The sequence below is a fragment of the Homo sapiens genome, chromosome 10, assembly GCF_000001405.40.
Source record: "Homo sapiens chromosome 10, GRCh38.p14 Primary Assembly".
Classification (NCBI taxonomy): domain Eukaryota; kingdom Metazoa; phylum Chordata; class Mammalia; order Primates; family Hominidae; genus Homo; species Homo sapiens.
Genome location: NC_000010.11, coordinates 87,945,135 through 87,972,151, shown reverse-complemented (window position 1 = coordinate 87,972,151; position 27,017 = coordinate 87,945,135). Strand labels below are relative to the sequence as shown.

Sequence of the window (27,017 nt, the reverse complement as noted above, 5' to 3'; positions counted from 1 at the left end):
AATTTTGGGGAGCATAATGTTTGATAACCATTATCACATGCACCTCACTTTCCACAGCATGTATCACAATTTATAATTGTTAATGTAAATTCTGTTTCCTCTACTGGAGTGTAAACTCTTCAAGGGCAGGGATAGAGGGTGTGTTTTGATCACTAATGTATTCCAAACCCATATATACAGCAGGGACTTGGTATTTGTTGAATAAAAAGTTTAAAACCGAATAGTCAAAATAATTAACCTTTTTAATTTTTTAAAGGAAAAATACTCTCCATAGGAAGGCATTTCTATTTTTTGTCCATCAGTAGCCAAATGGAACTTGATATAAACACTTCCAGTATGCCAACTTTGGTTTAATGCACAACTTTGAAAATAACTCATTAAAACACACATCAAGATGCTACTAACAAATTCATTAATATCCAAGATTCATTACTGTATGTCAAAGGTCATCCAGGATTAACATTTTCATTACAATGAACTGTGAAATTCCAATGAAAAATGTTTGCCTGAATTAAATTATTTAATCTCTCAAATTGGAAGTCTAGCACTCTTGAAAATCAAATTCACACACACACAGACACACACACACACACTTACAAACTGCACATTAGGACATGAGGGCAATTTAATGGAAAAAGAAAATAGAAACTGAAAGGGCATTTGTAAAATGTAGGATATCATTTGGACAACTGGATAGAGTAGGCAGAAAATCCTAAAGGTGTACATAAAAAAATAGCCAGTAAATGATAGGCTACAGAAAACCACACTGAAACATTTGATGAATTTCACTGCAGTAAACAGACTTGGCAAACTGAAACACTAGAACCATGACTACAAGCCTCACTTCATTCCACACAAATAAAATCTCTAACCATTATAAGCACAGATGAGAATCCTCATGCAACAGAGGAAATATAAATTATTTTTAATTTTAAAAAATAAAAAATATAAATTCTTGTTAAACACTTGATTTAAAAATATGCAGCTTTATTTTTAAATGTAGTTATGCTCAAAGATGGCAGTTTACTTATATGTAAAAATGTTTTAAAAATATCAATATATTGGTTTATAAGTTCTATACTGCCCTCAGCTAAATATTTTTCACCAAAATTCTCAAATAACTATCAAAAAGAGTTGCATGTTTTTATAAGCCCACTATAATTACTAAACGCGGTAATTTTCAGAGCTAAAGGTGAATCATTAATGAAATATTTTTTGATGTGATAAAAGTCACATGAGCATTTGAATTTAAAGACAACTGATAAGCCAACAGCAGCCTTTTTTTGGCAGGTGTTAAATTAATTTGCTCTAAATTGAGCAACTGTTTGGGAACTACAAAAACTGAAAAGTTCAAACTATAAGGAAGTAGAAAGGTGATGAAGTTTACTAATACAGTGTTTCACACATTCTATTTAACACAATTCCAAATGCAAATGTTTAAGATGATTTTTGAAGAGAAACATCTACAATGTTAAGCTTGTCTATGCTAAACAAATGTAACTTTAATTTACATGTATCATCCTAATGTCAACAATATTTAGACATTCATGATTAAGCCACTGAATTCGAAAGGATTCTCAATAACTACATGTAATCTGCATCTGTGGCATTAGAAAGTAATCAAATCACTGTCCGTTTTCTGATGCAATGGAACATCCTACAAATTCATGACAGATATACTAAGCTAAAAAGCTTTGAGATCAGGTACAGTATAAATTTCATTTTTAAAGAATATACATGGATATACAGAAGAAAACATGATTGTATAGTCACTAACATATTAACGATGGCTATGTCTCCAGGTGATAGGATTATGAGTGATTATTTTATTGTTGTTGTGATGGGGAAGTAGTCTCAAAATACCTAGCTTAACAACCAGAGTACTACCACCAAAGCAAACTATTTTGTCCTTTCCTGTCTTCACATTACAAACTTTTTAAAGCTACCAACCAATATGAATTTGTCTGACTGGCTACCCACATTCTGATATACATATTAGAAGGAAGATCTTTTGGAAGATGGAAAAACAGCAAGATTATGGTCATAAAAGAATAATATGCTCTCAAAAATAAGCAACAATCATTAGGCTTTCTATAGCCACATACAATTAATTCTATAAGAAAGTTGGCTCCAACATTTCATCTTTAAAAGACTTTTTCCATTATCCTGTTTCCTGGTTTTCAGGTACTGTCCTTACAACAGTTTGGACTGAATATTCTTGTTTCCATTCACAAACATTTCTTTCTGAACTAGCAACAGCACTAATCAATAGCTACACTTAAGCCATTTAAGACTAAGCTTTAGATGTGTGTCTAATTATCTGGCAAAAATAAAAGAACCAAAGAGTTTCATGTTAGCAGCAAATTAACTAGATTTAAGGGTCTTGATTTTTTTCATAAGCCTTTGGAAGCCTGCATATTAAACACTGGTGAGTTTTAAATTCTCAATGGAAATGGTGATGGCATTTACTGAACCAAGCCAGCTCATATTACAACGTACAAAGGACATGATATAAAAACAAAACTAGCACATTTCTATTTTTCAAACATCACCAAAATGTCTTCTTATAAATTAGAATACTTTTAGACTCCAGTATAGTTTTCAACCATACGTATACCCAAGATACCGAAAAATAAAATGTGTGTACACATACACTTCATATTTTACATTATTGCACATTTTTTCATTTACTTTTTAAAAAATTACATGGAGAAAATGTAAACTTGAAATAATAAGTCCCACTGTAACATTGTCTACTTTATTTTTTTAACACTTGTACAAACTACACTTTCTTATTACCTTACTATGCTTTGTTGAAAGGATATGCTTTAGTCTTCAAGCTTTTAAGAATATTAGAAACAACATGATTAAATTCAAGTACAAAAAGTCCTTTAGACTATTCCGAAATATCAATTTTTATATGGCACAAGTCATGATGAGTAAATGAAGCTTTCCATATGCTGATGGCAGAGTACAGAATAATAGACAAAAGCCACAAAATTGAAATCTAAAGTATCAAATCCATTCTGGGGAATTATCTTCAAACATCTGTCATAATAAAAATATGCACAATTTTCTAAGAATCTTGGACTTTTTCAGGACTAGAACGCTATTTAATGTGCTTATACAATTTATGAAGTGATGACTAAAGCCCTAAAAATAAGTGTTTTTCCTTAATTAAACATGAGTAGACAGATACTCTACTCTCAGGCCATGTTTTTTTTTTTTTTTTTTTTTAAACAGTAGGCTTTGAAGGACAGCAGGAAAAAAAAAAACTGAAAACTTTGTATTCACATTTGGCTGCCCATTAATTAAAACTTCAATGGACTTAAGCAATTTGAATTATAAACTCTCATTTAATAAAACACCCACACAATGACAAGAATGAGACTTTAATCAGTTTTAAGTGGAGTTTATAACACTAAGAGATAAAGGGTTGTTAACAAACACAATAACAAATGGACATCTGATTGGGATGAGGCATTATCCTGTACACATCATATTGGTATTTTTGTGTATCCTCAGTGCATAGCATTTACACACAGAGCCACTGCTGCACAGCACAAGAGTATCTGAAGAGGCTGAATCAGAGTAAGGCTGTTTAACAGACTGAAATTTTTTAGTATATATATTCTATATGAAAACAGGTTGAACTTTTGAACTGGCAGGTAGAAGGCAACTCTGCCAAATACTACAGTTAAAGCCCCCACTTTAGTGCACAGTTCCACCCCTTCCATCTGCATGCATGACACATTAACAGTATTTAAAGGTAAACGAGGCACTTTGTGGCAACCACAGCCATCGTTATGAACATATTGCACAAAATTTCTAGAACTAAACATTAAACTTGTACCCTACTTTTATTTTTTAAAGCTGAAACATTTGATGCTGCCGGTAAACTCCACTTAAGTTTATAACCTGTGCCACAGCAAAGAATGGTGATGCTATTTATTCAACTACCCTTTTAAAAGTATGGCAAACATGTTCAAGAGGAGCTACAAAGGACTTGGGATGGTACAGGGCCCAACTGTAAGCTTTCTTAAAAGTGATGCCTTCAAGTAACTTCAGACATGTAAGCTGCTGCACATCCAAAAAGTCTAAGAAAATATTCCAGAAACTCAGAGATTACCTACAGAATGCATTTCAGGCTAATTATGAATACTGCCATAAATAAAGTTTTAATTAGGACTCGAAAACCTTTCAGTCATAGCAATTCTTGTCAAATTCTATGGGGATGGTAACTGAAATAAAGTAAGGAGAGTATGTATAATATATATTTATATATATAATATATATAATGCCATTTTTCCATTTCCAATGACTACACCATAAAATGTAAGCAAGGCTTCTCAAAAACATTGAAACATTCAAAATCAAAACCCTCATTCAGACCTTCACATTCCAAAGGAAAAATAATAACAGTGCAAAAGCCCATTATAATGTCATTATTTATGACCTGGCCCTCCATGTTACATATTGGAACAATAAAGTTACGTTTTAATATGCGGTGCCCGAAATTGTAACAAAGAACAATATTTATAACTATCTTCAAAACATGAAGTTGATTTTCATTTTAGGTAACAATTTTCAGCTTTTATGAAAGACAAGGTGGCATATAAATTTCAATGGTGAGGTGTTAGAATAGTTGTCTCTAACTTTACCAATTTAACTTATGAGCAATCAATCAATACTCTATATATCAATGTTTAAATATAAATGTGTAAATCCTAAGAGCTTTGTTAAAAATTTAAAAATTGTTGAATGAAACTGACAAGGTATGGAAAACGTGTCAACATTATTTACTAAGAATATTTTAGATGAAGTTCTGCCTAATCTATTTGCCATCAAACTCTATAAATGCTGCTCTAGTAGGTCCTATTCAATCTGTATTTGTAAATTAACTAGGTCAGACCACAGCTAGTGAACAATTTCAGCACCAATAAGTTATTGAAAATGGAATTTTATACCATTAAGAAACAAAATGGCTGGATATTCAAATGTCAAGGTGAAGGTATAATTTGAAGACACCAAATTTCTGGAAAAAAAAACCTTTTTAATAATATCTTCACATTAGCTTTACAATAGTAGTTGTACTCCGCTTAAAATCGTATGCAGTCTGGGCATATCAAATATATGATGATTTTTTTTAAGAAGTGAAATTGAAGCCCTAGTCCCAACTCGGGGGAGCACTATGAAGAAATGATTCAACACTGCACATTTAAAAAAAAAAAAAAAAAAAAAAAAAAAAACCCTATTCTTTCAATAGCAAATCAATAAAGCACATGTAGGACAATTTCTACTGAAAAATCAAATGTCTTTTTTTTGTGTGCAGCATTGAAAGTTTACTGCAACTCTAATTTCCTTTTTAACACAAATGTCCTTTTTAATATAAACATTATATGTATTCAGTATTCAAGTAAAATTCCCTAACAGTTAATGACATTTAAAAAATGTGCAAAACTGCAAAATTCATTGTAATAGAATGTGTAAGGTCAAAAGGGTGGAACGGCTGACAGCTATTGAATAAGTGCATCATAAATCTTCAAAGAAAAAAAACGCTTACTGTAGAATCTCAAATTGAAAATTTCTGTGCAGCATTACAAAATATTTTATATTTAATGAGAAAAAAGAAGCTTGCAGGCAGCACATGAAGCATCCACAGCAGGTATTATGATTGAAAACTAGTAAAATAAGTGTAAGTTGTTGACTGATGTAGGTACTAACAGCATCTGAATTTTAGCACTGGCCTTGATTACACAGGAGATGGAGAAGTCGTTACAATTGAGAAAACATATTTAATAAATCATTGTCAATTTTTATAATGTTTCAAGCCCATTCTTTGTTGATAGCCTCCACATTTATATGGTTAAGTCATTGTTGCTGTGTTTCTTACCTATGACATTATTTTTATATCCCTTCATTTGTGGATCTTAAGATGTTGCAGAAGGTTCATTCCTGTACCCCAATACAGATTCACTTCCTTTAGCTGCCTTTTCTAGCACCAATATGCTTTAAAAAAAAATGCGCAAACAACAAGCAGTGACAGCGGCCAATTCCTCGAATGTCCAGATTAATAACTGTAGCATGCTAAAGAAAGGTGTGTGTAAATAGCTGGAGATGGTATATGGTCCAGAGTCCAGCATAAAATTATTTCCTTTCTGAGCATTCCCTCCATTCCCCTAACCCGAATACATGCATTAGAATGTAGCAAAACCCTTCGGAAACCTCTCTTAGCCAACTGCAAACTTATCTGTTGCCACAAGTGCAAAGGGGTAGGATGTGAACCAGTATATCACAAAGCTCTTTAGCCACTTCAGTTGGTGACAGAACACAAAAGGAAAAAATTCCTACGTATACACATCAGTCTGTCTCCACTTTTTATAAAACTGGAATAAAACGGGAAAGTGCCATCTTTATTAATCCTAATTGAATTTTAAATGTCCTTTTGACACAAAAAGGTATATACATGACACAGCTACACAACCTTTTTTCAACTGGACAACAAGTGTCAAAACCCTGTGGATGTATAGGGTAAAACAAGATTGGTCAGGAAAAGAGAATTGTTCCTATAACTGGTAATCTGACACAATGTCCTATTGCCATTAAAAAAAAAAAGGTCCATTTTCAGTTTATTCAAGTTTATTTTCATGGTGTTTTATCCCTCTTGATAAAAAAAAATTCAGACTTTTGTAATTTGTGTATGCTGATCTTCATCAAAAGGTTCATTCTCTGGATCAGAGTCAGTGGTGTCAGAATATCTATAATGATCAGGTTCATTGTCACTAACATCTGGTGTTACAGAAGTTGAACTGCTAGCCTCTGGATTTGACGGCTCCTCTACTGTTTTTGTGAAGTACAGCTTCACCTAGAGAAAGAAAATTTAAAATGAAAACCCACAAATATGACTCATCTTAAACTATTTAGTGAAATATATTTTTAACAGATTTTTTATTCCATTTTGCAGATGAACATATTAATTTTTAAGCACTGTAACAAACATGATCTTTAAGAGGCCTTTTAAATGACCCTCTTCTTAAGATGTTCAACATTTTCTTTCTTGCTAGGTACTAAACAGATAAACTATCAGGATGTTAATACAATTTATTTATTTTTATTTCTGGAGACAAGAGTCTTGCTCTGTTGCCAAGCTGGAGTGCAGTGGCATGATCTTGGCTCACTGCAACCTCTGCCTCCCGGGTTCAAGCAATTCTCGTGCCTTAGCCTCCCAAACAGCTAGGGCTACAGGTGTACACCACCATGCCCAGATAATTTTTTGTATTTTAGTAGAAATGGGGTTCATGATGTTGCCCAGGCTGATCTCAAACTCCTGAGCTCAGGCAATCTGCCTGCCTCAGCCTCCCAAAGTGCTGGGATTACAAGTGTGAGCCACCACGCCCAACCTCAATTTTATTTTTTAAGGAATATAAGTGGCAAATATTAACTAAATAATTATACAAAATAAATGCAGATTGAAAGTCATCAATAGTTTACATAATATAGCATTTGAATTACAAAATTCAATTCACAAACAGCTGAGTTCAAAAAGAATGTTTCTCTTACTACCTATGTGAAAAATCAATGTATTTCTTTGTGTGTGTGTGTGTGTGTGTGTGTGTTTTTGAGACAGGGTCTTGCTCTGTCACCCAGACTAGAGTGCAGTGGCATCTTCACAGCTCACTGCAGGCTCAAACTCCCAGGATCAACCTCAGCCTCCCAAGTAGCTAGGACTACAGGTGCATGCCACCACACCCAGCTAGCTTTTATATTTTTTGTAGAGATGGGATTTCACCATGTTGCCCAGGCTGGTCTCAAACTCCTTAGTTCAAGGTGGGAGGCCCACCTTGGCCTCCCAAAGTGTTGCGATTTTAGGCGTGAACCACTGTGCCCGGCTTCAATGTAGTTTTTGATATAAACAACACTACACAAACACAAACTACTGATCAACATTGATATTTGGGATTTATTAGCCCTAAAAACTTTACCTAAAGGGAGGAAGGAGAGGGACATTAACATAATACAGTGGTCTATAACAGAGAGTCAAGTGCCTTTACATGCCTAGTGAAAATAACTGTCAAAACAACCTTACATGTTAGGTATTTCCATTTCCAAGGGGAGGTAGCTAAGGCCCAGAAAGGTTAGGGAACTTGTTAAAGGCTACATATCTATTAAAAGTAGGTAGTGGATGTGAGATTTAAATCAGAAATGACTTCAAATCCCTTCTTCATTATATTATATTGACAGCCCCTCCCTCCCCTATTATCCAAGAGTCATTATCAATTCTTCTCTTACAACCAACATCCACTGCATCAGTAAACTCTTTAAGTTAATCTGACAGCTTCTTGTTACCCTTCACTGCCACTATTCTAAGCAGTGAGGGGCAACAAGAAGCAAACATCTTCTCTCATCTTTACTAAACTATTCAAGTACCTCTTAACTGATCTCTCAGCTTCCTTTATTACCCCTTCTCCCTACTTTCCTCACTCATCTGTATTTTGAAAGCATGAACACAGGGAATATTAAACACAAAATTCAGATTACATCCTTCCTATGCTGAACACACACTAGTGTCTTTACACTTGGACTGGTTTTCTTGTCCACTCTGTTTCAGTCAAAATGACTTATCCACTCTTCAGATATACCAAGCTCATTCTCTTGTCTAAGGGCTTTTGCATCTGTACTCTTAACTCTTTTCCCAGATATTTGTATAACTCACTTATATGATTTAGGCCTCTGCTTAAATGTTATCTGCTTGGTTGGGCCTTCTCTAATCATCTTTGCTAAAAAACAAAAAACATACAAACCAAGATTACTTTCTATCCTGTCTATTTTTTATAGCACTTACTACTATATGACATTGTATTTGTTTACTAATAATGGAGTTTTTATTTGTAATCACAAATATAAAACATCTTGCAATATTAAAATAGAAAACAATAAAACTAAAGGGAAAAAGACATTTTAAAAGTTAATGGCTGAGCAAAATGCAGATTTAGAGAAAAGAAAGGAAACCTGTGGATTCTAAAGAGAATGTCTAGCCCGGAGGACATGATGTTAAGTAAAATAAGTCAGGTACAGAAAGATAAATACCGTATGTTCTCACTCATATATGGAAGCTAAAAAAGTTGAGCTCATAAGAGTGTGGTTATTAGAGGCCGGGAAAGGGAGTGGGAGGGGAGGATAGGGAGATGTTGGTTAAAAGATAAAAAATTACACACAGGAGGAATAAATTATAGTGTTCTATAGAACTGTAACTAGTCAACAATAATTTACTGTATATTTTCAAATAGCTAGAAGACAGAATTTTGAATGTTCCTAACACAAAGAAATGACAAATGTTTGAGGTGATCCATATGCTAATTATCCTGATTTGATCATCACACACTGCATACATGAAAATATCACTCTGTATCCCATAAATATGTACAATTATTATATATTAAAAATTTTTTTAAAGGGAAACTTCTGAACACTTAAAAAAAATTTAAGGGCTAAAGACATTTAATATTAGATCTATTTTCACTTAAAACGTGCAGGGGCCCAAGTATTACTATTACTACCAATATACATACATACATACATACATATATGTATGTATATTGGTAGTAATAGTGTGTGTGTGTGTGTGTGTGTGTGTGTGTGTGTGTATATATTTTTTTTTTTTTTTTTTTTTTAAGACAGAGTCTTGCTCTGTTGCCCAGGCTGAAGTGCACGTGCACTGGTGTGATCTCGGCTCACTGCAACCTCCATCTCACAGGCTCAAGCAATTCTTGTGCCTCAGCCTCCCAAGTAGCTGGGATTACAGGTGTGCGACACCATGCCCAGCTAATTTTTGTATTTGTAGTGCAGATAGGGTTTCGCCATATTGGCCGGCTGGTCTTAAACTCCTGGGCCTCAAGTGATCCGCCTGCCTTAGCCTCCCAAAGTGCTGGGATTACAGGTGAAGTATTACTAGCAATATTCTTAATACTCAGACGCTACAGTTAGATTTATTACATGTTATAAAAATTGAATGAAAAATTAAGAGAGAGTAAAAAAGAGAAAGAAACGAGTGTGGTGAATGAACAGGGGAAAATCAGGTAGAATAAGAAATAGGAAGGGGGAAGAAAAAAATGGTAAACAACCACTTGGGAATGTTTACAAATCAGATTTTTTTAATCTGAAGAATTCTTGTCTATAAGTAGATATATATACCTATGTAGAAATACATATATCACACATAGGCAAAAATGAAACAAACCAAATAATTCTAAGATACAATATAAGGAAATAGGATTTTTAAAAAAAGAATAACGGGAGGACAATCAAAGGACTTCAGAGAATATGAGATTGAAGCTAAGGCTGGAAATATGAAGATAGCTATGGAAGGTCAGGGGAAAAGGCTGAGATGAAAAGGTACAGGGAGAAGGAAAATAACTGGAAAGACTAGAAGAGGCAGAAGCTTAGCATTTTGAAGAACTGAAGAAAGACCAGTATGACTGAATCTCAAGAAACAAGGAGAGAAGGTGACTAGTGCTGATGTAGGAGGTAGCCCTGTGCTAAATTATGCTGGGCCTTGTAGGTCATGGTAAAAAAAAAAACACAAGGTCCTTATAAAGTGTAAACAGAAGTGACACAATCAAGTCTATTTTTAAGATCACTCTGAGGGATTGAGAATAAATTGGAAGGCAGACAGGAGTGGAAGCAGTAAAAACATTCCATATGAATCATTCCCAAATGACTGAGTTCCCATCTATTTCTTTCCTCTCCCATTCCTACTTCATATCCCAGTCATTTAGCCCCCTCCCGCACCTTTGCCCCAGATTTCAGCAAACAACGAAGAATTAGGAAAAGGAAAAATGCAGCTTTTTTGACGCTGTGTACATTGGGTATTTTATTAGAAACTTTCATGTTACTGCTACGTAAACACTGCTTCGAAATAATACATAAGTTAAAAACTTGTCAAGCAAGTTCTTCATCAGCTGTACTCCTAGAATTAAACACACATCACATACATACAAGTCAACAACCCCCACAAAATGTTTAATTTAACTGACCTTAAAATTTGGAGAAAAGTATCGGTTGGCTTTGTCTTTATTTGCTTTGTCAAGATCATTTTTTGTTAAAGTAAGTACTAGATATTCCTTGTCATTATCTGCACGCTCTATACTGCAAATGCTATCGATTTCTTGATCACATAGACTTCCATTTTCTACTTTTTCTGAGGTTTCCTCTGGTCCTGGTATGAAGAATGTATTTACCCAAAAGTGAAACATTTTGTCCTAAAAAAAAAAAAAAAGAAAAGAAAAAGAAATGAAATGACATATTTAATTAATGATGTTTTATTTTTTTAAAAAAGAAAATCTGTCACCTATGTTAAACATTTGCAAAAAGTCAACAAAATAAACTATCATTTGATATTCTGAATAAAGGTAAACACAAAGACTATTATAAGGCAATCTGAGTTATCTGTTGCATTTTCATTCACATGATTTTTCTTCACTCAAATTCTCAAATTTTAAACCAAAAATACAATCTCACAAGATCTAAGATAAACTACTTTTGCCTTAAAATTTTAAGTAAAAAAACCTCTTTTCTCATCTAATACTAGCTTTAAATACGTTTTTAGTTTACGTGTACATACATATAAACAAAATTCAGATATGGATTTAATTTTTTCTACATTTCAAATGAGCTACCTATTCCAAGATTTACTTTAACAAAAGTTCTTGGACGGTGAGTGCAACTTCCCTGATGACGCATGGCAAATACATGTTTACTTCTACAGCAATACAAACATGAGAAGCTCCAGTTTCTTACATGACAATATAATGCTTGAATACTTTCAGAATAAATATGAGGGGGTAGGAAAGAGTACTACTGATTTCTTTTGATGTTATAAAATGCTTGTTCTTAAAAAAAATCACTTCTTACTAATAAGATAATACCTTCTTAATAAAAAAACACAACAGAAGTTCATCACTTTAAACCTCTATTGACCAACAAAGAAATCTGGCCTGTATAAATCATTTGGCAATTAATGATATACAGCCTTGTGACATCTTATCTGGTACCTGGTACCTTAAAATGCCATTTAAATCTTTTATTCTAATTTATCTTAAAGTTTTTTATCCCCCAGAAAATAAGATCCTTAAGGATGTTACGTCTTAAATGTCATTGCATCTTTTAACAGTACCTGGCAAAGTAATCTTGTATACAAGGTCTTTAAAATTTTTTTTTTGCTTATTTCAATTATTTTAGCCAGTAATTGTATTTTACTTAGAAGAAAATAAGCCAATAATATTTAAATAACAAAAAGGTGAATTCTATATATATATGGGTTATACTAAAATTTTTTGTGTTTTAATCATAGCATATTCTTAAATAAGGCAGGGAAAATCAATAAAATGGAAATTTATGTAGTCAAGGATAAACAAATAAATCATAAATATTTAATCTAACCTTCAATTTTGCATGTGTTAAAGTACAGATGAAGGGAAATAAGAATTAGGAAATTCCTAAAGGTATGCAGAGATGATGATGTAGATGCCTATTTTTGAAAGCTAAATAAAACTTACTAGTTATCTTAATTTTAAAACAGTTGCTAATACTTCCTGGATTATCAAAAAATAATTTTTCTAAGTTATTGAGATATATTTAACTTTTATTTGTACAGACGATAGGAAATGGGTTTCTGGCTAAAAAAAAAAAAGTTCAGCATATTTTGATTTTTTTTTCCAGCTACTTGGATTCTGGATAAAGGAAAATTATATCTCTACTGATACATCAAAGCAGCATTTAAAATTTTGCAGTAAATGAAACTTCCTCTTATTTTCTTTCAAAAGAAAAGCTAAAAATCAGAAAAAGTAAATAAATCCTATCATTGAGAATGTTTAAAGATTGGCAATATGCTATCTAGTATGTTTAACAAGGCAGCAACACTACAAAGTTAGTCCTTTTCTTCATTACTATCTAAAAATGTTGCACCTTAGTCTCACTTTAAATATTCACATTTAATATTTTAAATGAAGATAGTTGTTGTTTTTTTTTTCTTTTTTTTTGAGATGGAGTTTCACTCTTGTTGCCCAGGCTGGAGTACAATGGTGCATTCTTGGCTTACTGCAACCTCCGCCTCTCGGGTTCAGCAATTATCCTGCCTCAAGCCTCCTGAGTAGCTGGGAAAACAGGCGCCTGCCACCACACCCGGCTAATTTTTTTGTATTTTTAGTAGAGATGGGGTTTAACCATGTTGGCCAGGCTGGTCTCGAACTCCTGACCTCAGCTGATCTGCCCACCTCAGCCTCCCAAAGTGCTGGAATTACAGGCGTGAGCCACCGCACAGGGCGGATAGTTGGTTTTAAAATAATAAGACGTTGCCTTCTCTAAATACAGATCAATCAAATTCAAACTTCATTAACTTTCTAAACCTGCACATTTAAATACCATGTTTTCATTCTTTATTACTTCCTCTTCATACTGATTTCTCTCCTAGTTAAAAAATTAATCAGTAAATCCACAGAAGCTAAATAGAAAATAATCAAGTCTTAAGAAACGTTAAGGCCAGGCATGATGGCGCACACCTGTAATTCCAACTCTTTGGGATGCCAAAGCGTGAGGACTGCTTGTGCCCAGGAGTTTGAGACCAGCCTGGGCAACATAGTGAGACCCTGTCCCTACAAAAATAAAAATAAAAAAAATTAGCTGGGTGTGGTGGCACATGCTTGTAGTCTTAGCTACTCAGCCTGGGCAATAGAACAAGACCCTGTCTCTAACAAAAAGGAAAAAAAAAAAAAAGGAAAGAAAAAGAAACATAAGCCAAAATGGAGAAAAAGTGGTTTGTGTCACTACATAAGACCACAGAACAGATCTCATTTCTACCTATAGACCAAAATTTTTAAAATATTGGTCCCATGCTAATTTCTTCTCAGTTAACCATCCTTGTTAAGAAAAATTCCTCTCATGTTACAATGCCATAAGGCCTTTTCCTTCAAACAGGATTATTTACCCTTATAATGTCTCACCAATGCCAGAGTAAGCAAAACACCTGCAGATCTAATAGAAAACAAATTATAGTTCCTTACATGTCATAAAATAAAATATAGCTTTTAATCTGTCCTTATTTTGGATATTTCTCCCAATGAAAGTAAAGTACAAACCTTTTTTAGCATCTTGTTCTGTTTGTGGAAGAACTCTACTTTGATATCACCACACACAGGTAACGGCTGAGGGAACTCAAAGTACATGAACTTGTCTTCCCGTCGTGTGGGTCCTGAATTGGAGGAATATATCTTCACCTTTAGCTGGCAGACCACAAACTGAGGATCTGCATGGTTAAATACATACCAGTATTATTTCACAGGAAATGCCTTTAACTGTCAAACTGTCAAAAACGATTTTAATGATTAATATCAGCAATATACACGAAATATGGATTCTGTATCTGCAATCTTGATCTCAAGCAAATCAACTGAAATAAATGAAATAAAAATATAAACAATGTAAGATTTTCTCCAGTTTGAACCTTCAAAATAAGGTCCTATTACTTATATAAAAGTCAATTCCTATTTCATGAATAGTAAGTCCCAAAATTAGACTTCTAGTGGCAGAGTAACTTCAAAACTTTAACATTAAAATCATACTAAAAATCCTAATACAAATAAAAACTTTAAGCATTAAAAACGATGAAATAATTATCTGGTACATTTGTGAACTACATCAAAAGTAACTTTTAAGACAGATATCAACAGGGAGTAGTCACGAAAAATTTTTAAATGTAAAGAAGACAGATATTTGCTATAGTATTCTTAAGTCTCTAGCATGCGGCAAAGATCACAAAATACAAATCACTACATGTTCACAAGAGAAAGAGGATAAAACCTATAACAATGTTATAAAAAATTTCAAAAACACAAGTCTAAATATTTATTAAAAAATTAACCATCATTCATTTTCCTATAGCTCACATTTTAAAGGTATATAATGCCACCATCATAACAGGAAACAAGAGATTTGAAATTTCTGTAAAGAAATGTAACAGATTTCAAGTAAAAACTGCAGCACAACCTTCCTTTCCTCCAAAACACCTCATTTTCATTAACAAGTATTCTGGCTTTGGCTCATGTCTGTTTTAAATAACTGGTAAAAAATAAAGTAACTGGTAAAATATAACTTCTCAAAATTCATCATGCTTTTACACTAGCAGTTGAACCAAATGGTGGGAAAGTGTGTTAAGGGAAGGATTGTATGTTTTATTTTTTAAATCTACTCATAAATTCATTTATAGCTAATGACCTTAATGACAGAAATTAAAGACTGATGAATGTTATGATCCCAGGACTTCAAAAACTGAAAGTTACCTAAATAATTTGACAAAGTATAATTCATTTGTCATACGCTGAGGAATTAGAAAACAAAAGTCCATTACAAAGAAATTTATTAACCTTAGGAGGTTAAGAAGTGCCATTTGAAGAAAACATGCCAAGATAATAGAGAAACAGGAACACAAAGTTACATAAAGTGTATGAGAAATATTATACATATTTAAATATATTTTGTATTTATATTACGTATATATATATATATATATAAAACAAAAAATTCTCAGCACCAAAAGGTGTCATTATTCTAAAAGATAAACAAAAGTCTTACATTTTTATCAATGTGACTGAGAACAAGGCAAAGCTAAACCAAGTTAAATGAAATTTCCAGTTTAGTAAACACCTACTACTATTTCTATGTAATATCTAAAGCAGTATCAGCCATCACATAATTAATATGTTTGATAAAAGCATGCAGGCTACTCCAACATGGTCTTCTAAGACACTTATTATTCAAAAAAGCTACCACAAACAGGATAAATATTACACCAACAATCTATCAATAAATTTCACTTCCTTGACTCAAAGTTCAAAGTGCAATGAGCCATTTCATAAGACTTTATGTGATACTGAAATTTCACTGGGAAATCTAACTTCAAGAAGCAAATAAACAAAGTAGGATTCCAAAGCTGTGATAAAATTAACCAGAATAAAACTGAAAAACTGCCTTGTAATCTTTTTGATTTAAACTCCATTAATTCAGAATCTGATAATCCTGATTTTAGGACTTTAAAAAGCAAATTAATAGTATTTCCAGGTTTCAATTAAACTACATCTAAAATGTGCATCTTCAAATATTATAGTATTATATTAAAAATGTATAAGTAGTAAAGATTTCCTCAATCACTAAAGAAAATAATCTTCTCTGCAATATGAATATCATGTTTCAGATAGATAAGACCTAACTAAGCAGAAGTCCAATATTAGTATGGTTCTGTGGACTTCTACAATATATATCCTTGGATATATATGACTATGTTCCAAAAAATAAATAACAAGATCCAGACCTAGTGATATAGTTTGGATATCTTTCCCTCCCAAATCTCAGGTTGAATTGTAATCCCCAGTGCTAGAGGTGGGGCCTGGTGGAAGAAGCTTGAATCATGGGGGCAGATCCCACATGAATGGCTTGGGCCATCCTCTTGGTGGTAAGTGAGCTGGCATTTAAAAGTGGGTGGCACCTTCTCCCCACCACTCCTTCTCTTTCTTGCTCCCATTCTCACCATGCTCCCCTTTTGCCTTCAGCCATGATTGGAGGCTTCCTGAGGCCTCCCCAGAAGCAGATGCTGCTATGCTTTCTGTACAGCGTGCAGAACCATGAGCCAATTAAAGAAGAATTCATAAAGAAAACAGGTTAAACCTGTTTAATACTCAGTCTCAGGTATTTCTTTAAAGCAATGCAAAAACAGACTAATACACCTAGTAAATGAAAATCAGAATGTAAAGAATGGAATGATAAATAGTGGAGACTTGAAACGGTGAGTAGAAGATGAGAAATTACTTAATGGGTACAATGTATATTATTCAGATGATGGACAACCTAAAAGCCCTGACTTGAAACTATACACTCTATGCATGTAACAAAATTACACTTGTGTCCCTAAATCTATACAAGCAAAACAATTTTTTTAAGTCAGAATTAAATTTCCTTGGATATATACATATTGTTATAGTCTTGAATGAAAACCACATTGATCATCTTTTAGTAACATTTTTAACCCTGTTAAATGTCTAGAATATAGTAGCTTTTTCCATCTCTTAGAAATATTAAGACAAAAATCAAGAAAAAGCTGCCAATCCCTACAGAAGATGCTGTATTTTTCAGCACTATCTGTTCTCTACATTGATTCCTCTTCTTCTTCCTAAACCCAAGTTGCCATTCTTATCTCAGTCCTCACCCTCTCCTTTTCTTCCTTTCCTCCAAGACTTCCCATGCCCAAACGCCACACCATTATTTATATGAAAGGCTTAACTACTCTCCCTTTCCTGATGATGCCCAAAATATCGATATATCTCCTACCTAGATTCGAACCCATACTCCCAAGTACCCACTGAATATTGTCATGTGAGAAGCTCACTTTTACCGGATTTAAAACACGTTTAAAACCAAAATATCAACATTAATGTCTCCAAGTCTCAGATTCACTTTTCTTTCTTTCTGAGACTATTTCACCTGACTGGGCTCAAAACTTTTACAAAATCTTTGGCTATAAATGGCAAATAAAAAATTAATGAAATCCCATTTGATTGTCTTAGCATACCTGCATTAAGGCAAGTTTTATTACTGGTTTCTTTTCCACTATTTTTTCCTCTTGCGATTACAACTTTGCATACAACTGTCCTTAAAACATGGTTTAGTCCTCAAGTATTATCATGACATCTCAGTATTTATGAAATCAAGTCTGTTATCCCCATTCAAGATCCTCTAACAGTCACTCACACGTTCCATACCTATTCTCTGACACTACATTCTTGTCCAGCTTTTTCCTTCTGCTGCACTTCCACTCAAGCTATTTCCCATTGCCTGTAATACTTCTTTCAGTAGTTTTTAATTTATTTACTTATTTTTTTTTTAAGACGGAGCCTCACTCTTACCGCCCTGGCTGGAGTGCAATGACGCAATCTCGGCTCACTGCAACCTCCACCTTCGGCTTCAAGCAATTCTCCTGCCTCAGCCTCCCAAGTAGCTGGGACTACAGGCACGCATCACCATGCCTGGCTAATTTTTGTATTTTTAGTAGAGACAGGGTTTCACCATGTCGGCCAGCCTGATCTCAAACTCCTGACCTCAGGTGATCCATCCACCTTGACCTCCCAAAGTGCTGGGATTACAGGCGTGAACCACTGCGTCTACCACTGCGTCTGGCCACTTCTTTCAGTTTTAATGCCAGTCTAAACTGTATGTTTTCTTCAATGTTCAATAAAGAACTGGTGAACTTCCTTTAAGAAACTGTCTGACAACCTTCAAAAGCTTTTCTGAATGTAGCATTTATAATTTATATACACAACTTCCCATTTATTTTATTTTATATTTATTTATTTATTTCTAAGACAAAGTCTTGCTCCGATGTCCAGGCTGCAGTGCAGTGGCATGATCTCGGCTAACTGCAACCTCTGCCTCCTGGATTCAAGCGATTCTCCTGCCTCAGCCTCCCAAGAAGCTGGGACTACAGGTGTGTGCCACTATGCCCAGCTAATTTTTGTGTTTTTAGTAGAGATGGGGTTTCACCTTGTTGTCCAGGCTGGTCTCGAACTCCTGAGATCAAGCGATCCGCCTGCCTCAGCCTCCCAAAGTGCTGGGGTTACACGTGTGAGCCTCGTGCCTAGCCCCACAACCTCCCACTTAATTACATATAGCTCATATTTTATTAAAACTTTACTACAGTATTAAATCATAGTACATAAGAGGAAACTAGAAAATGAGGAAAGATTACTAAAGTGAATGTTTTCTTTCCCTTAATATCTGCATGATACTTTATACCTTTCTCTTGGCTCTTACACTGATATCAATACTATAGGAAGAGCATGAGTTTTTCTTCCTTTTTCCTTCTCTATGAATCTGTTACATTCATCTGTCAGTCACTTCCAACAGCTCAGTACCTTGCATTCAGCAGTTTTAAAAATTGTACTGAGATGAAAAGAGCATCAATGAGACTCTTTAGAAGACTTTAACATGCTATACTAATAAATCTGTGGTCTTTGATAAAGTTATCTGTCTCTAAGAATACAGAAAAGATCTGATGAGGATGATCACACCTATCTGACAACAACATCAGAGAAGTAGAATAGGATCAGGATGACTGAGGTAGACTTATAGAGATTAGGGTAAAAGGGAGAAATAAATAGAGGCAGACATCAGTGACATAATCTGTATTTAGTACTTATCCAGGAAGTCTCAGATTTCAAAGTCTCTTCATTTTATTGACAAGCAAACTCAAAGAGAGGTAGATGATATGCTCAGGGTTACGCAATAGATTAATGACAGAGATAGGACTAGAATCTGGATCTAAATCCAGGTTTTCTCTAACACTCCACATACTTTGATTCCTATTCTTTACTCATCATACTTCAGCTTGCTGCCACGTCTTATCACTTCTTCCTTTCCTTTTCATTGCTTTGTCACCATTACTGTCAATACCTAGTCTTCCTAAGATATTAAGGAATTGATCCCTGCCCTAAGAGCAGCAAATTGCTGAACTCCTCTGGTGGACCTCTGCTGGACCTCATGCTGGACCTCTGATGGGACAGGTTCTTCCATCATCTAGTCAGAATTGGGCTGTATTTGGTGGTTATAACACAGAATATTTCTTTCATAAATATAATTTGGCTTCGACTACATTAAAACCCATTGCTTTTGGCTTCTTTAGCCCAATGAGTTGAACAACAAAGCTAATTAATTTGTTCAAATGCTTCAGAAATATAGTCTCCTGCATAAATTTCAAATGTGGTAAATTTCTTTCTAAATTTTTATGTAAACTTCTAGATATGGTTAAGAAAACTGTTCCAATACATGGAAGGATGAGAATTTCAAGCACTTACTGCAAGTTCCGCCACTGAACATTGGAATAGTTTCAAACATCATCTTGTGAAACAACAGTGCCACTGGTCTATAATCCAGATGATTCTTTAACAGGTAGCTATAATAATACACATAGCGCCTCTGACTGGGAATAGTTACTCCCTGGTGGACAGAAAAAAAAGAGAAGCCAAATTGAAAAAAAATGTTCCATTATAGTTATTTCACTAAATTGCTATGGTAACTGGGTCGTAGCCATTTAAGAACATATATACATTAGAAATTTGACCTTAAATGATTAATACTTAAATCCAGCTCAATAATAAATAAGAGCAATATCAATACAAAGGATATCAGAATAACTCTCCTCCCTTAAAACAATTATCATAACAACCCATTTATTCAAAGGTCACAACAGCGCTCTGACCCATGAACCCCATAGGCAAAGGCCACTGCATATCCAGAATAAGTGTCAAAGGCCTCTGCCCTACAGCTATGCTCTATACACCTAGGGCTCCCCACAAGGATTTATGGACTCCTTAAACACACAGCTCCTCACAAACTTGATTACCTACTTTCCAGGGGAAAGAGTATCAGAATCAGCAAACTAGACAGAGGCATATTGCCTTTAAGGCAGAAACAGCAGTAGCAAAAAGTGATGCTGGCATTAGGGCCCAACAAAAACAGGACTATGCAGTTGATGTAAATGTGTGAAACAATCTTCTAACACAGGTAAAGCTATCCTTGTACTACATGCATCTCTTTGTTGAAGAAACCAGGGAAAAATGAAGTGTTTTAGAAAATGTAAGTATTACAAATGATTAAAATGTATCTAGTTCTCAAGAGTTTATTAAACAATAAAACATAAATAAAATTTTGTAATACATGTGGCACTTAATAGGGGAAGCTGAGTTATCTAAAGAGAAAAATCTAATATGTACAACAATGCATTCACTAACGAAGACGAATAAATGAGGTATTTAAGGGTTTTTTTTATTAGACATGTGACTTAAGAAAAATCCAACCTAAAAATGTAAGACAAACAATAAGCAACATTAAGAAGTTTAACGGTAAAAGTAACTTACAGAACACTGTACCTTAAATGAAAGTATACTCAAGAGGAAAAAGAATTTGCAATTATTTCTCTTTTAAGTTACTACTGGCATCTAAATCTCCCCAATGTCTTAAAAATTGTAGACACAACCTTCTTCTCCCTAATGAAAAATATAAAACATATTTATGTGAATTTAAAAACAGGCCAGGTGCAGTGGCTCACAACCTGTAATCCCAGCACTCTGGGAGGCCGAGGTGGGCTGATCACTTGAGGTCAGGAGTTGGAGACCAGCCTGGCCAACATGGTGAAACCCCGTCTCTACCAAAAATACAAAAAATTAGCTGGGCGTGGTGATGTGTACCTGCAGTCCCAGCTACTTGGGAGGCTGAGGCAGGACAATCACTTGAGCCTGGGAGACGGAGGTTGCAATGAGCTGAGATCGTGCCACTGCACTCCAACCTGGACCACAGAGAAGACTGTCTCAAAAAACAAACAAAAAACCAGGTATGCTGAATAGCAAGTATGTAGGTATCCACTGTAGTACTCCTAATATTTTTTCAAAGATGAGCATGATTTTATTATAGACAATTTAAAAATATGTGTATGTGTGTATAAATGTCAAAAAAAATCGGTATAAACCATTTCAAATCATGACAAGTGATTTAAGATTTTTAGCCACAGTATAAAGACCAAAATTTTATAAATAAAAGACTTGTATTTGAATGCTGACAGTCAAAATACAAACTCTGATGTGTTTTCGAAGGAAAATGAGGACAATAATATGTACCCTTCCTTAACAGGGCTCTCATGAGGATCAAACACCAGATGCAGTTACACAAAAGCATGCTAAAACTACAAAATGGTACACGGTTTTAGCAATTCTGTACCTGTATTCAAGGTGCAGTTTTGGAATAGCTGGAATTTTATTTCTATATAATTTTCTTTTTTCTTTTTTTTTTTTTTTTTTTTGAGACGGAGTTTCGCTCTGTCGCCCAGGCTGGAGTGCAGTGGTGCGATCTCGGCTCACTGCAAGCTCTGCCTCCCGGGTTCACGCCATTCTCCTGCCTCAGCCTCCCGTGTAGCTGGGACTACAGGCGCGCACCACCATGCCCGGCTAATTTTTGTATTTTTAGTAGAGACGGGGTTTCACCGTGTTAGCCAGGATGGTCTCGATCTCCTGACCTCGTGATCCGCCCGTCTCGGCCTCCCAAAGTGCTGGGATTACAGGCGTGAGCCACTGCGCCCGGCCTAATTTTCTTAACAAAACAGTAAAAGGTAAGGTAAAGTAGTAGTACTTTGAAGAGCAGTACTACTACTCTTCATACTCTTCATTAAAACATTAAAAATTATTAAAGTTAAAAAATGTAAACTTACAATGATTTTATTACGTCACATTTAATGTAATTTCAGCAAACAACTGTCATTCATGTTTAGCAAGATAAATACAGAATTGCTAAGCAGAAAGGAAATATCACATGGAAGATGAGTGGGAGGTGTACTTTTTTGAACCATGTGAATTTTTTAACCATATGCATTTATTATCTAGTCAAAATATGCAATAAGATTTAAAAAAATTAAGTCAATGCGAGTCTACGAGTAGACCACATTGTCAACATTATTTGTTGGGGTTTAGTGGATGACATTTTTCTCTTTATCTCCATTTTTGGCATAAGTTTGTGTGCAATAATAAAAAGATTTCAAAGCTTTAGGTTTTTTCAAGTAGCAAGTGATTAGTAGTGTACCTATAATGTAGGTGATTATACATTCTGTTAATCCTTACCCAAAAAAGGATAGGCAACATAAAAAATATATAAATCTACTAGTTGTCAACATTGGGTGAATAATCTATGTATGAATACCAGTTGAAACAAAATTACTGACAATTCAAAGAAAAACATGGAAAAGTACATTTTAAAATTTAATCAATTAGTTTACCATCAATATTACAGTCTATTTTCTTAACTTTGCAATTCTTATCTACCTGCTGCCTTGTCAGCACCCAAAATTCAACACTTCTAGATTAACAAATATTAAAAAGTTGGGAGGCTCACATGTATCTGTTTCAGAGTCTCCAATGTGACCTCCTCATTCTAGTCCTATCTCTCTGAGCCATGATGCACACTCACTAAAATTGAATTAACACCTGCAATATAGGATTTCCAATGAGTGGAAAGTCCACACTAAAATTTTAGTCATCTTTAAAAGCTTATACATATGAATAAAAGGCTGTAAAGCTCTTGCAGATTAAAAAATACTCTGTTTTCAAATCTTTTTTTTTTTTTTTTTTTTTTGAGATGGAGTCTCGCTCTGTCACCCAGTCTGGAGTGCAGTGGTGCGATCTCAGCTCACCGCAACCTTGCCTCCCGGGTTCAAGCAATTCTCCTGCCTCAGCCTCCCGAGTAGCTAGCACTGTAGGGATGGCCACTGCGCCTGGCTAACTTTTGTATTTTCAGTAGGGAAGGGTGAGTCAGCATGTTGGCCAGGCTGTCTTGAACTCCTGACCTCAAGTGATCCACTCCCCTTGGTCTCCCAAAGTTAAGGGATTACAGGCCTGAGCCACTGTGCCTGGCCTAAAATTTTTCATTTTTCATGTAAATTAAAGCTAATAAGGGCCAGTTTTTATTCTCTAACCAAGACCTTTTAAGTTAAATTGATCTTTAACTACACACACACACCCCTGCCCAAGGGTACAGTTCTACTTTCTACTAGTAGTAACTCTCCTTTTCCACTTTAATTTTGAGGAAAATTATTTACACAGCTGACCCTTGAACACAGGTTTGAAATGTGTGGGTCCACTTACATATATGGATTTTTTTTCAATAAAATTTTTCAGAGATTTCAACAATTTGAAAAAACCTGCAGATGAAACACATAGACTAGAAATATCAAAAAGTTAAGAAAAAGTTAGGTTTATGTCATGACTACATAAAATATATGTAGATTAGTCTGTTTTATCATTTACTGCCATAAAATATACACAAACCTATTATAAAAAGTTAAAATTCATCAAAACATATGCACACAAACCTTAAGACCAGACATAATACCACTTGTAGTCAAGATAAATGTAAACAAATGCAAAGATGCAGCATTAAATCATAGCTACCTAATATTAACTGTAGTACATACTATACTACTGTTAAAATCTCATAGCTAACTTCTGTTGCTACTGCAGTGAACTCCAGGGTTGCAAGAATCTGTTTAAAACACTGTGTGACACTAATCATCTCTGTATGATCAGCTCATCTCTCCAGTAAATTGTGTATTGCAATCAAAAGCTATCTCTCTCACGGCTCTTGTGTGTTTTTCTTTTCTTTTCTTTTTCTTTTCTTTTTTTTTGCGACAGAGTCTCCCTCTATCATCCAGGCTGGAGTGCAGTGGCACGATCTCGGCTCACTGCAACCTACGCCTTCTGGGAAAAAGCGATTCTCCTGCCTCAGCCTCCCGATTAGCTGGGATTACAGGCACGTGCCACCATGCCTGGCTAATTTTTTTATTTTTAATAGAGACAGGGTTTCACTGTGTTAGCCAGGATGGTCTCAATCTCCTGACCTCATGATCCGCCCGCCTCGGCCTCCCAAAGTGCTGGGATTACAGGCGTGAGCCACCGTGCCCGGCCCTCTTGTGTAGTTTTCATTGTGTCTAGTGCAATGCCGTAAACCTTAACACCATGAGACCCATATGAAGTGCCAACAGTGATGATGGAAGCGCTTTCAAAGAAAGAAGTCATAGACATTATAAGAATAAAGTGACTTGCTTGATATGTACAGTAGATAGGTACAGCTGTAGCTGCTGGCCATTTCAGACAGATGCTTCATCTTGTAAACAGCAACATAAATGTATGGTACCAATAAATACAGTACAGTACTGTAAATGTGTTTTCTCTTCCTTATGATTTTCTTGATACATGTTCTTTTCTCTAGTTTACTTTATTGTTAAGAATATACTATATAATACACATACAAAATATGTGTTATTGCCTGTTTATGTTGTGGGTAGGGCTTCTGGTCAACAGTGGGCTACATTATCGAACGGTCAACTGTATCCTTAACTTTTTTTCCTCAAATACAACTTTCAACAATTCTAGCTTTAGCTAAAAAACTTTAGCTAAACTAAAGAACTTCAGCCATTACTCTTTCAGCTCCTTTATGTTCACAGACCAGGAGGTAGACCTCAGAAGTATATTTAGTGTTCCTCCTAATATTCCTTCCAGCCCCCTTTCCTACAGCTTTGCCTATTTCAAACCCCTATCACTCAATAACTCTTCTGGTATACACTTTTTAAACTCTTGACCACAACGATTTTAGCACTTTGTTCTCCCAACCTCTCTCTTGATCCTGACCAACACATCACCTTCGATGAATTCAGCTCCTGCTTTACTGGGAACCCTGAGGTCATCCAATACAAACACTCAAAATTCCCTTCTCCCATCTTAAAATCTCCTTATACTTGACGTCTCTTCCTGTTCAACAAGTTTCTATTTTGGACAAGTGCTTTATTAATTATCTCCTATCTGGCATGTGCCTTTATTCTCTCCACTTGTCTCTAAATAATATGCTCAAGTAATCTTCATTCTTTATCCAAGGCTGGCAAACAACTGAAAGACCAAAAACCCACACTCTCCCTAGATTCTGTATCTCTCTCAAACTATTAGCCTCCCTCTCTATAAACAGCAAATCTTGAGACGCTCTTACTCCTTAATCCAGAGAAATTGATTATGAGGCTGATTTCTTTTTGAAGGGGAGGGGGGTGCCATGGTCTCACTCTGTCACCCAGGCTGGAGTGCAGTAGTGCAATCTTGGCTCACTGCAACCTTTGCCTCCCAGGTTCAACCCCCTCAGCCTCCCGAGTAGCTAGGAGTACAGGCGCCTAACACCAAGCCCTGCTTGCTTGCTTGTTTATTTATTCATTTATTTATTTATTAAGGAGGAACGAGGGTTTTGCCATGTTGCCTAGGCTGGTCTCAACTCCTGGACTCAAGAAATCTGCCTTGGCCTCCCAAAGTGTTACGATTACAGGGATGAGCCACCATGCCCAGCCGAGGCTGATTTCTTAATGGTCATTAATGCTTTGTCAACAACTAATTTCCTGCTGTTTTCACAATCCCATCCTGGCTGCTGGCTGATCTTTTTTTTATTTTTTTTTTAAACATTTCACTGAAAACTTTTTATTACCCTTTTGGGTAGAAATGAGAATTTATTTGCCAGGAAGGATGATCCCATCATACTTCTGCTGGAACCAGCGCATGGCCTCCTCTTTGCTGATTCTATTTGGCACCAATGAAGCCTGTCCCGCACTTCTTACCTGCAATGATGAAACCTGGCTTTTCCAGCACCACATAGAAGTCCAGGCTGTAGACATCAATGCTTGGGTCATATCTGATACCCAGATCAATGTGTTCCTGGGTCCCAAAACCAAAGTTTCCAGTATCTGAGAAGTTATTTTTTCTTAACTCACACTCCTGCACCTTTAGATCATTCTCCAGGATTTCGTCTGCCTTGGCCCCTCGAACTGTGCAGCAGACAACAGTCTTTTCATTTCTTCTGTTGCCAAAGGCGCTAACAGTATATCTAGCTTTGGAAAACACCTGGTTCTGACCTGTAAGCTGTTCCAAGACCTTAGTTACTCAGGTCAGTCTGTCTCCACTTTCTCCTAAACAGATGTTGAAGCGGAGCCTGCAGATGCAAAATTCCTGCATGGGGTTATCCTTTTCACCTTGATCCTGCACCACGATGGAGAACAGGAAGAGCCTGGCTGATCTTTCTGCAATCATTCTGAAACTTCCCTGCTTCTGTCATAGGACTTACTCTCTCAAGGTTTCTTTCAACCCTTATTGGTTGTCTCTTCTCTTGTCCCTAAATATAGGCCTATCTCAAAAAGAGTTTCCCCTCTGTCAAACCAATCTATTCCAGTGCTTTACCAATTTTACACAATAACTCCAAAACTTATCTCCTTTAACATGACTTTATTCCCAACTGCCAGTGCAGAATTCCAACATCTGGCTGGAATTTCTACCTGGTAATCTCAGAAATACTGAAAACACACATTTCCAAAAACCGAAGCTTTTTAACGTGGAAAACTTCCTTTATTTCCA

At 35.3% G+C, this 27,017-nt stretch overlaps 1 protein-coding gene and 1 pseudogene across 3 annotated transcripts in view; both read right to left on the bottom strand.

Annotated features, from left to right (window-relative positions):
* PTEN (phosphatase and tensin homolog) overlaps positions 222 to 27,017 on the bottom strand; it is a 108,306-nt gene continuing 81,510 nt past the window's right edge. For all 3 annotated transcript variants that reach the window (NM_001304717.5, NM_000314.8, NM_001304718.2), the window contains 4 exon segments: positions 222 to 6,865; positions 11,034 to 11,258; positions 14,133 to 14,299; positions 19,893 to 20,034. In NM_001304717.5, coding sequence (NP_001291646.4) covers positions 6,680 to 6,865; positions 11,034 to 11,258; positions 14,133 to 14,299; positions 19,893 to 20,034 — 720 coding nt within the window. In that variant the 3' untranslated portion in view covers positions 222 to 6,679.
* RPL11P3 (ribosomal protein L11 pseudogene 3) lies at positions 26,072 to 26,672 on the bottom strand (annotated as a pseudogene).